Source organism: Homo sapiens, chromosome 15 (assembly GCF_000001405.40).
Source record: "Homo sapiens chromosome 15, GRCh38.p14 Primary Assembly".
In the NCBI taxonomy this organism is placed as follows: domain Eukaryota; kingdom Metazoa; phylum Chordata; class Mammalia; order Primates; family Hominidae; genus Homo; species Homo sapiens.
Window position 1 is genome coordinate 87,488,547 of NC_000015.10, and position 16,938 is coordinate 87,505,484.

At 40.0% G+C, this 16,938-nt stretch overlaps 1 long non-coding RNA gene across 1 annotated transcript in view; it reads right to left on the minus strand.

The window, feature by feature from the left end:
• Positions 1-16,938, minus strand: part of LOC102724465 (uncharacterized) — a 379,687-nt gene that overhangs the window by 164,378 nt on the left and 198,371 nt on the right. Inside the window, exon 2 of the long non-coding RNA NR_187944.1 lies at positions 13,202-13,260. This is a non-coding gene — a long non-coding RNA (uncharacterized LOC102724465). The remainder of the gene's footprint in view (positions 1-13,201; positions 13,261-16,938) is intronic.

Genomic DNA, 16,938 nt, shown 5'->3' on the forward strand with positions numbered 1-16,938 from the left:
ATTTAATTAATACACTGTGTGCTTCCCCTTCCACATCATTACGAAAGATGCTGAATAAGACAGGGTCCATGTCAACATATTCCCAAAAGCCTGTCATTTCTAGTACGTTCCCTCTGCATGCAGCCAGCCAGTTCTCCACTGCTGCAAATGTTCACTTCTAAGACAATTTAAATGCCCTGATGGGCTATCGTTTTGTGAAGTGCTCTGTGCAATGTGTTAATCAAGTCAAGACCAGGGACATTCACTGTATTCTATTTGTCCACTCATTTGCTAATTAAAGCCAATAATGAAGTTAAAATTTGTCTGGCAAGATTTCCTTCATTATTAGTGCTACAATTAGGTTTGTATTTCTTGTTCTTCTCATTTAGATGTTTACACACACACACACACACACAGTTAAAATCTTAAAACCTGGGCATTTTCTACTTTACTGTTAAGAAAATCAAGTTCAATTTTGAGCCTACTAATTATAGATTATCATTCTGAAAGAATTGCCTAGCAGTCCAATGATTAATGTCTTACTTTTTTAATTCCAAGGGCAGTCAAAGCAGATCCTGGAGTTCTGGCCAGAGATTGGCTCTGGGTTGGGTTTTACAGGACTGGGTTAGGAATAGAGGATTCCTGCTGAATACAACTCCAGTTGCCAAGGACAATCTAGCAACCCAAAGTCCACTGTGAAAAGCTGAAGTTTAAGCAAAAGGGTAACAAAAATCTATCAAATCCAGAAGTGAGAAGCAAGAATAAAAGAAGGCTTTACAGAGGCCAACTGGTGATTAGAAATGGAATCCAAACAAGAGATCAAGAAGGTACTGAGTGAGAATGTTACAATAATTTCCTTGAGCACTGGAACAGAACATTAAATTATTTTGAGAGACTCTGAGTTAGCAGCTGGAGCTTGCTGACGAAATTAAAGGGTGGATAGAAACCACCAATCATTATCATCATCATCACCAACCCAGGAGGCAAGTATTTTTAATATAGAATGTGAGAATTTAGAACAGGAGGGCTCTTGAAATAATCAACATCTCCTTTGGGTTCCAATCCTCCTGCATCTCATATGCTTCATTCTGCATTCACAGTGAAAGTGCTCCAGATGGAGACAATGACACTGGGGGATGTTCAGAGAAGTTTGGCACAGCTACAGCACAGAAGGGAGGTCCAAACTGATGCAGCATATTGTGCAAGGAGGGTGTCAAAGAGCTGAGACTTGAAGAGGTTAACAAAGGCCAAAGAAGCAAGACCTTGTTCAATGTATGAGGAGGTTTTCACAGTATCCCAAGAACAATTGGAAGTCACTGAGGGTTTCAAGCAAGGCAATGACATAATTTTCTCTGCAGTTTGGAAAGCTGAGTCTGGAGGCAAGCTGCACACTGAGTGTGCAGTTTTACGTAAGACTAGAGTCGGGAGACCCAAGAGGGATCTGTTGTAGGAGTCCTGGACAAAGTCAAACATGGCCTGAACTGAGTGATGGTAAGAAAAAACATCGTCATTTCCGACAGTGTCAGAAAGTGCACTAGACATAGAGGATAGATTAGAGGGAGATGTCAAAGGCTGCCCCCAGGTGTTCCACTTGAGCAATCAGGGCTGGTTCTACCATTCACTACACAGGGTATAACTGAGGAAAGTGGGTATGGGGGAAAGATTAATAAATTGGATAACTAATATAATCATAACCACATTTATTGAGGTTTATCTCTTTGTTGGTCACTTATGTGTTTCCAAATATTAATCTCATGGGATTTTCCCACTGCCACTATGAGATGGGGGAAAAATAACTGAAGACACACAGTTGGTCAGGCATAGAGCCAGATTCTAAACCAAGCAGTCTGGTTGCAGAAGCCTGGAGTTGGGCTGAGTCCACAATATGTCTACATGGAAGGGCCTCACAGGTCTCAATCTTAGGAGAGAGGTCTAGACCAGTAGTTCTCAGTGTTTATAGTCTGAAGGGATTCATAAAAACAAAACAAAACAAAACAAAACAACAGATGTTTTATTTCTGAACTTTAAGCATTAATTATTTAAACCTTCCACATGACAAATATTATGCTATAGGCACAGGAAAGAGCATGGAAAGAGCATTTGCTCCAATCCCTACCTCCTTAGCCATGTATTTCTCACTACAGCTCACTGCTCCTGCCCCAGTGAATAGCATCAGACAATTGGGAAAACACAGGATGATCTTCTTTTTACCTCTGAGCCTTGAAACGGGACTCCTCTTTCCTTAATCTTGGATACATATGAGAATCACTCACATAGGATTTGAAAATGTAGATGCTTAAGCCCCACTCCAGATCTACTACATATGAATCACTGGGTTTTTATTGCTGCCGTTGCTGCTGTTGTTTACAGTTTAAGAAATATTTCAAGTGTGTAGCTGCGCAGTCAAGATTCACTGTCCCATAGACTAAAAACTCCTCTACAAGTGAAAGTACTAAAGGCTAAACTACTAAAGAATAAAAAAAAAAAGGGGGGGATTTGACAGTCTTCGATGAAATAGAACCCTCACTATTTTACTTTTTATTTTAGGTTTAGGGGCACATGTGCATGTTTATTATACAGGGAAATTGCATGTCACAGGGGTTTGGTGTACTGGTGATTTTGTCACGTAGATAATAAGCATAATACCCAATAGGTAGTTTTTCGATCCTCACCCTCCTCCCACTCTCCACCCGCAAGTAGGTCCCAGTGTCTGCTGTTCCCTTCTTTGTGTCCATGTGCACTCAATCTTTAGTTCCCACTTATATGTGTTTAGCTGTGATCCCACCCAAATTCTCATCTTGAATTGTAGTTCCCATTATCCCCACATGTCATGGGAGGGAGTCGGTGGGAGGTAATTGAATCATGGGGACTATTACCTCCATGTTGTTCTCATGATAGTAAGTGAGTTCTCCTGAGATCTGATGGTTTTACAAGGGGTTTTCTTCCCCTTCACTCTGCACTTCTTGCTGCCACTATGTGAAGAAGGACATGTTTGCTTCCTCTTCTGCCATGATTGTAAGTTGCCTGAGGCCTCCCCAGCCCTGCAGAACTGTGAGTCAATAAAACCTCTTTCCTTTATAAATTACCCAGTCTCAGGTATTTTTTCACAGCAGCGTGAGAACAGACTAATACAGGAATGAAATGGTTTGGCTGTGTCCCCACCTAAATCTCATCTTGAATTGTGGTTCCTATAATCCCCACATGTCATGGAGGGGAACACAGTGAAAGGTAAATGAATCATGGAAGCAGTTACCTCCATGCTGTTCTCATGACAGTGAGTGAATTCTCATGATATCTGATGGTTTTAAAAGGGGCATTTCCCCTACTTCCCTCTACAGTTCTCCTTGCTGCCACCATGTGAAGAAAGACGTGTTTGCTTTCCCTTCCACCATGATTGTAAGTTTCCTGAGGCCTCCCCAGTTATGCTGAACTGTGAGCCAATTAAACCTCTTTCCTTTATAAATTACCCGGTCTTGGGTATATCTGTATTAGCAGCATGAGAACAGACTAATACATCCACTTATAAGTGAGAACATGTAGTATTTGGTTTTCTGCCCTGTGTTAGTTCACTTAATAGCCTCTAGATCCATCCATGTTACTGCAAAAGACATGATCTCATTCTTTTTTATGGCTGTGTAGTATTCCATGGTATATACATACCACATTTCCTTTATCTAGTCTACCACTGATGGGCATTTAAGTTGATTCCATGTCTTCACTACTGTGAATAGTGCTACAATAAACATAAACATGCATGTGTCTTTACGGTAGAATGATTTCTATCACTTTGGATATATACCCAGTAATGGGGCTGCTGGGTCAATTGGTAGTTCTGTTTTGAGTTCTTTGAGAAATAGTCAAATTGCTTTGCACAATGGCTGAACTCATTTACCTTCTCACTAGCAGTATAAAAGTGTTCCCTTTTTTTCCACAACCTCACCAGTATGTGTTATTTTTAAACTTTTGCTGCTGTTGTTCCTAGTTTATGAAGTATTTGAAGTATGCAGCTGCAGTCAAGACTCACTGTCTCAGAAACTGAAAATACCTCTGAAAGCATAAATACTAAAGAGAGAGAGAGAGAGCCAAACCATCAGGATTTGTTAGATTCCTAGAAGAAATAGAACATTCATTATTTAAAATAGTTTATATTCCAAGCACTAAATGACACGCTTTGCATATCTTAAATTAATTTCACCTTGAACAAGAAAGTAGCTTCAATAATTAGCATTTTATTAATGGGGAAACAGAGTCACAATGAGATTAGAATTAGTTCCCATGGTGATATAATGGTTGACCCAGTCTAACTGCACTTTTTTACTACAGTAATTTTACAAAGATGCTCTCTCTCTCCTGCACCAATACCAGCTCAGATGCTTTTTTATTCTTATCAAAATGCTCTATGGTCCAAGATAAATTGGTAGTACACTGGGAGTGAGAAGAATGAAGAAACTAAGGCAGATCAGATGGAAAGGCCAGTCTTATAGAAGTCCATTGAGAAAAGTACCAACTGAAAATTCTGTCACCCACAAGTGCATCAGCATGCAGCTCTCAGGGATAGCTATGCCTAATCCACCCTTATCTGAAACAAAAAGCCAAATTATTATTTCAAGAGAAAGCTGTGTGTATAAGGTGCAGTCTTGGGGAGCAAAGCAGAGAGCTGAGTCCATATAGGATTGGGGAAAGTATGGAGTTTCTGGACTGGGGGACTTTAACAAGCAATTAGTGTGTAGGGATTGCTTGAACTTTAGCTGCAGAAGTTTAGGCACTCAAGTGAGGCTGGTTCTGATTGGCTGACTTTCAGAAAGGCAGTCACTAGAATGAGGACGTTGCCAATTGACTGATTTCAGAAACATGGTGTTGTCACTGATGGGCTTACCCTTCAGAAGTTGGATTACTTGAGCTAGTTGTCACTGATCAATGAAGCATATTTAAGACCAGCTCTTATAGTTATTTTTGCCTTGATGACAGAGCAAATTTTCCTAGGAGGATAGAAACTTTTATTTTCAAGAGTTGGTCAGAACATGCTGCTCCAAGATCCTCTGGTTAGGAGGCATGGAAAGGCAACTGGACCCTTAATTGACATTTATCGGGATTGAGCTACAAGTAAGAAGGTATTGGTAGACTTAAAGTGCACCCTGAATGATCATCTCTAATCAGTATTTCCCTGAAAAGAATTATTAGCTTATAGATTTCAGTCTAGTATTTATAAAATACTCATTCCAGTTGAGTATTTATAAAAACTAAAGCAAACTTAAAAAAAAATCCAATTGAATCTGCCTGAATCTTTAAAGTCTTACTTTCTGTATTTATATTCTTTAAACACTTAGGGCTCTTTGCTGTTGCTGTGCTTAACTCTTTTAATAAACTGATCAGTTTTGGTTATAAAAGAAGATTATCAAGTGAGAAAGCCTGCTAATGTCAGCCAGTTTGTATACCTAGGGCAAAAGCCTAGCTGTGTGGATTATGAAGTCATAGCCAAACCTCCATTAGTCACCTGACAGCTGTCTTCAGTAAACTACCTATGTGGAATTAAAACTCTCATGAGTGTGCTACTGTCATAATTAAGCTTAAACTCCATTATGACCATACCATCACAGAATCCTTCTCCATCCAATAAACTTCTCCCATACCCTTACACTCCATTTCCCCAACAAAAGAGAATAACCATTTCTGAGTGATATTGATTTTTTACATCGTGGGTAGTGAAGATAAATAGCCCTGGTGTACATTTGGTTTTGGCTATTTCTACACAGTACCTAAACAACTGGCTTGTTCTTTTAATTCAGTGAAAACCAAATATCAGACCTACTTTCATAGAATTTTATGTATCACATAAACAGTTTAATTTTTTACATTTTATTTTATTTTAAACTTTTCAGCTGGCTGCTTCTGTGTTAATGCAAAGATGCAAACTTTACTGGTCTTCATTTGTTCCAATTGAGTTACAGTCTGAGACTATCTGAATGACTCCAACAATCTGAATATTTTTTCAGTCAATTCAGTTATTTCTGTCATGAGGCCAGCCAGGCGCTAAGCTGTCTGATAACCATTCAGCTCCTTTCAGTCACTAGGCTGATGCCATTAAGATTGCCTTGGCTGTTTGAATGAAATATCACCATGCATTCTGAAGCATCCATTTGCAATATGATGATTAGGTGTCGGATATCATGGTTCTCTCCCTCAGTTTCTCCTTTTACACAATTATGGCATGAATCTCAGGGCTGTAGGGGCTTTTACAAATGAAATTACACAAAGCACTTGTCTTAGTGTATTTGGGATGCTGTAACAAAAATATCATAGACTGGGTAATTTACAAACAACATAAATTTATTGCTCACAGTTCTGGTAGCCGGGAAGTCCAAGAACAAGGCACCAGCAGATTCATTGTGTGGTGAGGACTCACCCTCTGCTGTGAACATGGTGCCTTCTAGCTGTAACCTTATATGGCAGAAAGAGCAAACAAGCTCACTGAAAGCTGTTTTTATAAGAGCATTAATTCCTTTCATGTGGGCAGCACTCTTATGACCTAATCATCTCCCAAAGCCTCCACCTCTTAATACCATCACGCTGGGGATTAGGACTCAACATATGAATTGTGGAAGTTGGGTGATGGGAGGGACACAAACATTCAACCCATAGAAGCACTTTATAAATTTAAAATGAAAAAAACACACTGTAAAAATTTCAAAGAGTCTTCCAATGTGTCTTTATCTATTTTGATGTTCTTGAAGGGGTGTCCCTTCTCCGTGGTGAGCACCTCCCCTGGTGTTCATAATCCCAGTCATTCTAACTTCTTTTGAGTCACTTGTCTATCTATTAGGTCCGCTCTTTCTTTGACTTTTGTTATCTCTTATCCCTTGGCTTCTTCCTCTTTGCCTGTAATTGTCCTCAAACTCCCATTCTGCCATCCTTCCCTCTCCTTTGCTTCCTCTGTTTGTCATTTCCTAGTTACACTCCAATACCTGGTTTCTGCAGCCATAGCCTTCTTAGATCTTATCAACATTCTAAGTGCCAAATACAAAGACACTTGCCAGGCTACAACTTGCATGATTTCATGTTAATATTTGACCAAGCTCCCCACTCCAACTTTCTCTTCCCTTAGCTTCTATAACTTACCCTTTGGTTTCTTTTATTGCCTCTCTGTCCCATCCCTCTCAGGCCCCTCTGCTTCTTTCTTGGCATTCAATGTGCATGTTCCCCATTTCTCATGCTTAAAAGTCCTCTCTTCTCATTCCTAATCTTTCTCACTCCATGCCTTGAAGTGACCCTGTATCATGAATGATTCCCAAATCAGTAGCTCCAATCTAAACTCTCTCTTGAGCAACAGGTTCATGTGTACACCTGGCTGCTACCCATTTTTAGATGCAGATTCAGAAAGCACAATGATTTCAAAATATACAGGGTCAAACCTACATCCCCACCTACCCTCCAAAATCAAGCTCTCCTACCTTACTCCCTCCTTTCAGTAGTGGCACCAAGATTCACCTTGTCACAAGGTTAGAAATATTGTAGATACAGGATGCCTTCCTCTTGCTTAAATCCTAAAGTCATATTGGCCACCAAGTCCAGTGACTTTTCCTCTCCGTTCCAACAGCTATCCCCTTGATTCAGGCTCTCACCATCTTGCTAGGCCCCAGTGTGAATTCCCTAACTGGATACCCTAACCCCAGGGCCTCTCCTCTCGGTCCCACCACAGTGAGTTAAATCTTGTCACTGCCCTGCTTAAAATTCTTCAGTGGCATCTCATGTCTTTTTTCAGGAGGTTATAAGCTATTTTTAGCAGTGTGACCTTTCTCTTCAAATATATTCTTTCATACAACTCTATTGTGTGAAGCAGAGGCACTCTGTGAGGCTCTGGATTTGGTGGATCTTAAGGGACCAGGATCCTCCCCAGCTCAGTCACTCTCTCTCTGCCAGATAGAGGCCCATGAGGCAGCTCCATAATGAAGGACTGATTGAAAATCATTGATGGTATAAAGTCCACATGATGTGAATTGATGTATCAGAGTATTGAGAGAGAATGACTATGACTACTACTATCACTCTCATGGCTACCTTGGCAGCTGGAACTAGAATTCTACTTACAGAGGACACAGGCTTTGAGAAAATACCTATTAAATCCTGGTGAGAAGTTGTGTTTGCCAAGGCTTAGGCCCTGGCTATTGCCAAGTTTTCTGAGAGAGGAAAGCATCTCATCTGCCTTAAAAATGAAGAAGGATTTCTATGTTTCTTTGAGGAGGAAAAGGCCAGATGACAAAAGAGAGGTTATATGAGAGAGAAACAGGAGAGAGAAAGCAGAGAAGAATATCAAGATGGAAGTAGTATGGGAAAAAATATTTTAAAAGGTACAATCCTGGTGGCAGTGTCTGAAAAGGGAGCTCAGAGAATAGTGATATCCAAGATGTTTTTAGAGATTTGGGAGTTGTTGTTTGTTATGTTTTGCTGCACATTACATAACAGAAACCCTCCCTATGACCCAAAGTGTTGAGTAATATGCTTTTGAAGGACTTTGCGAGTGTATTATCTTTGGAAAGTTTAAAGGGCTGACTTTTGCATCTAGACCAATGGACGGTAAAAGAAATAATATTTACAGATACAGAAAGTATGAGTACAATGGGCTTGGGAGAATAGCAGCCCCAGATATTTGCAGAAAAATGTGGGAAAGAATAAGGTGAACCCTAAGCCATGGTTTGGGAGAATCCTGAAATGGACAAATGTCTAGGGATCAGGAGATCCTAGTTGAAAATAATTGATAGTGCAATCTTTGAATTTATTAATCACATTCAAAATAGCTCACTGATGAAACTAAGCATTGTACGGAAGGCTGTTTCACAAAGAACAGGATGCTGGGGGCTCCTGAAGTTGCAAAAGAGACCAAACTCATTCAGAACTAGCTCCAGAAAAAGTTCATATAAAGATATGCATACTAAAATAAAGGTGAGGAAGTAGAATCAGGATCTTACAGCTACTGAAAACTTTTCAAGCAGAACTCTCCTAGCCACATGGATTCCAGATGCTGCATCGTTTTGAGCATCTCTTCTTTCTATAACTTTTAGCTTTCTCTGTTTTATTATTACTGTTCATATAACTGACGGTATCCTCCAGCCCAAAGGTTACATGACCCTTTGATTCTAGCACCCACAACCACTAGACTGACTTCCTGTCTATGTCATTTAATTCCAATTTGATGGACGGAGAATGCAATAGGTTTGACTGGAGTGGGGTTCACCTCTAGGCTAATTTGCTGTGGCCAAGAGGTGGGGTCACATTATACACAAGGTCACTTTGGGTAAAGTGAGCAAGAAAACAATGGTTTACATATAAAATATAATTATTCCCCTGCTTCTTCTCTCTTAGCTTTACTGACTTGGCTAGGTACACGCTTGTGGATGAATGCTGAGATGTTTCCAGAAGATGGCAGTTCAGCTTTTCTCAGTTTGGTGGTACATAGAGAAACGGGAGACAATCTCCAGAGATAAGTGAAAGGTTTGTTTCACTTATAACAAGAACTTTGGAAGACTCAGGGATTTTACAGCAGAATCTCAAATCTTATGACAGTTTTCCCACTGAGAATTTGTGTCACTGACATCATTCTCTGCATGCAAGCATATCATCTTTTACATAATAGATATATTCCTCAAAGGTTGTGTGTGAACCAAATTTTTATATTTGGGAGACAGTTCTAATCTCAGTTTCTTCACCTATACAATGGGGGAAATCAAATTCTATTTCAAACTCACCAGTGAAGCATGATTTTATTTAACGAGCCACGCTGTGAATTTTCTCTGTGGTTGGAATACTGGTCCACTAATTGATCTGTTTTGCAAATTTGGATTTTTATCTATCAGGCTTTCCTGAATGCAACTTAGAAAGGTAAACAGTAGCTTTAGAGAGAGCCTAAGTGCTACAAAAATAAAAGTAGTTACAAGCTGAATGCGAAACCCAGAACTCTGGGTTCCGCTCAGCAATTTAAACAAATTACATCAATTCAGGGATGATGATCAGTGATCCAAAGTAACTGAATTCTTCTTTTTTTCAAGTTCTTTGTATTTTAATAGTCTCTGACTCTGTAAGTAACAAGCAAGGTTCTGTTAAGAACCCATTTCAAATTTCTGTTTAAAAGCTCTGCTCTTCACCTTTGAAGAAATGGAGCTCATGAAGTTAAGTAAACAGATTGCAGATGGCGCACCACATTCACTCGGAAAACATGCTGATTACTCAGCAAAATGGCATTTAGCACCACAAAAAAAGCCAAGAGCTGAGTTACTACATCAAATCCTCAGTGGAATCCAATATCCCCACCTGTGGGATGCCGGCAATTGTGTCTAAAAATGCAATTACCAGAAGGGAAGAAAAACAGATTTACTCTCTTTCACGAGGAACGGAATCATGAAAAGGGTCTTTCCTCATGGAGTAAGTACACTGGAAGCATAGTTTATTCTGTCTTGATGCCCACTAATGGTCTGACCGTCCCCCATTATATCGTTGCTAGGTGAAATATGGCTTTATTATTTGCATCTAGAATTATATCACAGTCCTCTCTCCTAGGCAATCACCGAGCCTGTTGTACCAGCACCAAGATAGAGCTACTACAAAAATTAATAAGTAGGGCCAATGTTTATTTTTCCAGAAAGGTGAGCTTTTCAGAATCCTTTTCTTCTCACAATACATTAAGGTGTTGTAAGCATAAAACTAAACTGAGTGAATGAGAAATGGTAATTGAACACCATCAAAACACTCTACATTTGGAGAGAAGGGAGTATACAGTGATCAATAAAACTCAGAACACTGACATGGTTTAAATGAGTCCCCCATTGGTTCCCCAATATTCAGGATACCAAAGGTGCTGAAACTACTCTTCAGGAAGTAAGCAGGGGTAATTTCCAGGATGACAGGGAGGATAATAAACTTTGAAGAAAGATTGGATTGTACTTCCTTTAGCTCTAAAGTAGAGGTACTTGAGGTCATCATAAGCCAATAGGTACATAGACAGATACCTCCTGCATTCCCTTCCAAAAACACTCAAGATAGAAGACAATGGGGATTCGGTCAATAATAGTGTAGAAAGATGTCAGAAAAGATGGTGCTTCAGAAGCCGAGGAAATACTTTGCAGAACGAAAAACTGAAAGATATTCATTATATATATATATATATATATATATATATATATACACACACACATATATATATACACATATATATATACACACATATATATATACACACATATATATATACACACATATATATATACACACATATATATATACACATATTATATATATATATATATATATATATATGCAGGCAGCCAGTGTAAGTTAGGATGAAAAGGGACACACACAAGAGAAGCACAAGCCTATTTCTCTTTCCCTAAATCTGTATGATCTAAGGCAAATCACCTCACTGCTCTGGGACCTCATCTCTCTGACATGTAAAACATTTTAAGAGTAACTGCAGATTTACCTCTTCAATACTTCTTCCAGGTTCTGGAATCAGGAGGTAAAAATCCTGAGTAGTTGATGAGGTTGGGAAGACTGGGGGAAATATCTTACCACCAAATGCCAACCGGTAGATTCCATGGAAGGTATAAAAACATTTACCACTTCCAAATATGGAAGCACCCTCTACCTACTAAATGGAGACTGCTTGCAAGCATGTATGCATTATTTAGGTATTATGCATTGATTTGTATGTGTATGTGAATTTAATAAGTAATTTAGTGGCAGATAGCTACATAATTATATTCCTTTAATCACCAGCAGACCTCCAGACAGGACTCAAAATCTGTATTTCTCCACTCCTTGCCTGGCAGGTCTCAGAAGGTCAAGGTTTTTCGTTGCCCTGGCAACAGCTGATAGCATCACTACCACCTGAAGCCGCCCAGGGGGCTGCAGGCTCTGCAGCACTGTAAGCGGTTATGATGTTATCCCAGTTGCTGGGGAAACGCACAACCTTGCACCAGGCAGGTGGGTAACCGTGGAGTCGATTTCCAAGCATTCTGCCTTTAACAGTCTACACTGGCAAATGTATTCATCGCTGCATAAATTCTATGAACAATTTGGGATCTTAAAGAGTTTTAGTCATGTGTTCTCTTTTTAAAAAGCTCTTAAATGGTTCACCTTTACTGCTTGAAATGTAGTGCTTCTATGAAAAAAATAAAAACAGGTTTATTATTGCTCTATTTTAAATGAAATTGCCACCCACACTAAAATATGCCAGAGTAACTCCTCCCCAGTGTCTCTGCCCCGCTAATCAAGTCTGCATATTTTTTTTAGGTTGCTCTCTATCTACAGGGGAAAAAAATAAAAAAAAGTATCTTAAGATAATATTGGATCTTGAAAAGTAGACTCATAAAAGCAGAGAAGTCCTGTTCATCATTTGAGTCATCCTTGATTGGCTTTCTTTTAAAATGCATCTTCTGTCTTTCTTATAACCAAGGGCTTTAAAATTCAAATGTTCATGAACACCAGCTTTATTAAAATTAAGGCTTGGGGAAATGGCTTGGAAAAGGGAGAAAAGAATATTACCCAACCATTTAAAAGATGCTAATTAATGAAGTTCTAAAGCCCAGAGAGGGCATTTGATACAACAAGGGTTTCTCTACAAGGAAAAATAAAAAGCATCTAAAAACAAAAAATTTAAAAAAACCCTCAGAATAAAATAAAATTGAAGTAGATTAACTCAAATCTTCCCCCAGCTTCTGGAGAGGCCTTGGGAGTTTTGCTATACTCTAAGAACTTGAGTTTGCGTGCCTATGAACTGAACGCATTTACATTTTCTGGTCCAGCTCCATGCCAGCCTTTTAGCCACTGGGGACCTGCCTTGAATGTGCAATGCAAGGCATTTCACCTACTTGGTTTTTATCCACTGCTTGTCCTCAGCAGCAATCACATACTCAGCCCTGGTTAAAAGGGAATGCGGGAAGAGAGGCTACCCAGATGGATGGCTCCATTCTGCCCCATCTTTCTTACCCACAAGCTCCTTTCACTTTTAATTATGGAGAGGAGAACACATTCTCTTTTCTCCATTCTCCACCTCTCTTAGCTCATTCATCCACTGCAGCTTAGAATTGGAGCTTGCAGCAGTATTTTCCCTTCACGTGTTAAACATCGGTGGATGCTTTCAAAGCGTCTATAGTTAAGCTTGTATCAACCTTGCCAATGTTTCCCCACACTCAACAGAGGAAGATATGTTTGATTTTATCTTTTTATTACTCACCATTGTGATAGTCTTGTCTTGTATTCTACAGGAATCTCTCTCTCTCTCTCCGGATATTGCTGTGGGCCAAAAATGGAAAATCTCCATTGAGTGAAAAATAGATTCGTTGGTACCGAAATAAATAAATAATCCCAGTTCTGTAACAGAAAATCATTTTCTGGGGCCTGATAATGATTTCCTAATACTGAGATATCAATCAGATGATCCATTTGTTGTCTACTGGGGCTGGAGAAGGGATTAGTCTGTGGAAGAAAATGGGATGATCCACTGGGTGAAGGCTGATGAAGGGAGGAGAAGGGTGCATAGTCAGGCAGTCAATGTCAGGACTCGGAAAACAGGGTTTCGAAGAGCCTGTGCAACACATCTCCTCTGTAAATATCCAAGTACCCTCCCTCTCACCCTCCACCTCCTCCAGGCCAGGGTCAGATGTTGTATGTCGTAGCTCTGCATGTCTAAGCGTAACATGAAGGAAAGAGGTGCCCCCATGCCTTTGCACAGGCTGTGCTGTCTTCTAGAATGTTTTCCTCTTCTTTCCTGCTCATCTGTCCCTTGGTGATAATCATAATATACAGCCATTAAAATTAGTAACAGCTAAGGTCACCTTGTGTCAGGCACCTTGCTAAGTGCTTTATATAGCTCTTGCATGTTCACCACAATCCTATGAAGTAAGTATTCTATTTCCTACTTTTCTGATGAGGAGTGTGGGTCTTGGAGAGCTTAGGTTACTGGCACAAGGGCATATAGGTTAGCAGCAGCAGCAAAATAATTTATCCATCCAAAGCCTATGTTCTTAACCACCATAAAAGATGCAGCTCAAAGGTTACTTATTTTAGGAACCCTCTTACTTCACCAGAAAAGAAAAAAATTTACCCTCTTTCCCCTCACTCAGTGTTCAGATATTTTGTATAAACTTCTCTTAGAGGACTTATCGTACTGGATTGCAATTAGTGGAATTATTTTAATTACTTTTTATGGCTGATACAGTTTTGCAGTCTTGGCACCAAACTTACCTGACACATAGCAATTGCTCAATAAATGTTTGCAGAAAAGGAGGAATAATGGATAGAATGAATAAACAGTGAGGCAAAACAGCACAGCCCCTGGGCCCTTTGGACACAGAGACCTGGATGTCTCCTTTTTAGCCAACTGAGATGAGGATATAGCTCTTTTCCTTTCATTGAACACTTGAAATATGTCAGCCAGAGAGGCTGAGTCAGGGAGAGGCCAGGTGAGCTGACTGCAGGCTGACGCCCACATCCAATCTAATACCTACCTCCACCTTCATCCTTAAAAGGGGTGAGGTAGGCTGGATTGACTCTATACTCCTAGGGTTGGGATTAGGTTAGAAGAAAAATAATGTCTCACAATCTCCATCTTAAAGGCCCAGCAGGTCAGGACCCAAACCTTCACAGGAGGGGCAAGAGCCAAACTAGCACAGAGCAGAAGAAAGACCATCACTCCATAGAGGGGTGACCCATCTGCACTGTGCTGCAGAGGCCTTCTCTAACCAAGAGAGAAAGAAATACATCTAAATCTGGAATCTTATCCTATTTTGTCCTCAAAACTAGGCACGAGAGGCAGCAGCAGAGGGACCCTGGGTGAGTGGGGAGCAGGGCAGTCTGTAGTCTCTTGTAGGAACAAGGTGGATGTGGAGGGGTGGCCACCACTTGGGCAATTTCCCAGCTGCTAAAGATCATACAGTTAACCCTCTGTGATTAAAGCGACATTTATTTATAGTTTTCTCTTAGATATGTTGTATTGTCTGTGTGTCTCATTTTTCCTCAACATACAACTCAATGTAAATAAATAAATAAAAGGATTATGTGCTACAGGAGCTGCCATACAGGAGCTTGGGCAAGTGTTGGTAAGTAGACCCAGAAATCCCAGAATGGTTCTGCTGCAGACACTCACTCTTCTGTGACCAAAAGCTTCTTGCACATGAAAAGCGAAGCCCTGAGCATGTTGGATTACTACATCTGAAAGGCCGTACTGGTGACCAAAGGGTGACCTGACACTAAACCTCTAGGAGTCAGTTGATTGTAAAGGTCTTCAGGACAGAAAGAAGGTTTTGTATCCTTTGTGCTGGGAATTCCAGATCCTGGAACCCTTGGCGAAGCTTAAATCTTGTCCTCCTATAGCATCATACCAAAGCCAACTTCACAGCTATGTTGCGCAAAGGCTGAGGAGAGTCGCAGCAAAGCCAAAGAAAGTAAGAGCTTGGAAGGCAATTGGAACAGATCTAGTCCAACTCTGTTATTTCATGAGGCCCAGAGAGAATGGCAATGCTGCATTTCCAGTAACTCAACAAGTGTGTACTTAGAGGACCAGCAAAGAGGGCACGACACAAATAAATTAATGGTAAAAGCAAGATAGATTAGACAACTTCAGCTTCAGTGATCTTATCCAGAACCTGATAGTAACAGAAAATTCAGAAATAGTCTATTTTAACTTTAACATTCACGCAAGTTTTGTGTTTAGATACTTTCAGTTACACTTAGCAGATTTCTAGACACACAATATTTTGACACTTTGGATGTCTAAAGGTCTTATTTGTTCTGTGGAGGGTGTTGTCACGTTCCCAAAGAATTAGGCTCAAGCTGCAGAACCCAGAGAGAGGGCAGGTAATTTATGAAAGGAGGTGACACTTCAGAGAAGTAATGTTTTTCAAGATTATACAGGATAAAAACAACCTAAGAATAAATATGTCTCAAACTAACAGACTCTGAATTCCTGGGCTAAGGTGTTCACTTGTCACTCACCACCTGAGAAGCCTTGAGCAAGTTATTTAACCTCTCTGATCTCTGTTTCAATATCTGCATACTACAAAAACAAATGTGCCTATGCATTCGTTGTAAAACGAAATAAATTAGAAATTTTAAAAAATCACCTACAAAATTATCTACATGGCATAAGCATATTAAACAATATGAAAACAAAGGAGCAAGAAGAAGGAAGAAAAGGGAAGTTAGAAGGAATTGGTGTTCATTGGAGAGCGCATACGGTAGGTTCCCGCCGCCACCCCTGCTCCCTCGCAAGGGACTAAAGGAAAACGAATTGCAGAAGTCAGGTGGAATACGTTTACTATAGTCAATGACGGATTTAATTATAAAGTCTTCATTATGTTTGTGCATAAGTACAATATAATATAACTACATTGTAATTATCCTATTGGGCAATGTCAAAGCCAATCCAAAGGCTGCCATTGCCTTTGATATTTAGAACAGTGTCGGATTTCACCCTTTTAAAAATGTTTTGGGGAAAAATGGTGATACTGAGGTCCACACTAAAATGTGATTTAGTCACCTGGATGGCTTTACCCCTTACTATGAGGCTTCATAGGTGAAGATGGATGGATAAATGGATGGATGGATGGAGGAATGGATGGACAGATGGGTGGGTGGGAGGAATGGATGGATAGATGGGTGGGTGGGTGGGGGGGTGGATGCATGGATGGATGGAAGGACAGAAAATGAATGTCTTCCAGTGCTCTGGCAGCTTTATTTGCTTTAGTGCTTTTAGTAGAAGGAGTTCACATTTTTTTAAAGTGCAAGATCTTTGTGCATCATGCCCTTTATCCTCACCACAAACTTGAGAAGCAGGTGTTATCATTTTTATTACACAAAGACCAAAAGTGAAACCTGAGGATGGTTAAACAGCTTGCCTAGAGTCACACAAGCTGCTGGCAAAGTTAAGATTCGCATACAGGTCTGTAAGACTCCAAAGTCTCAAATCTTCCA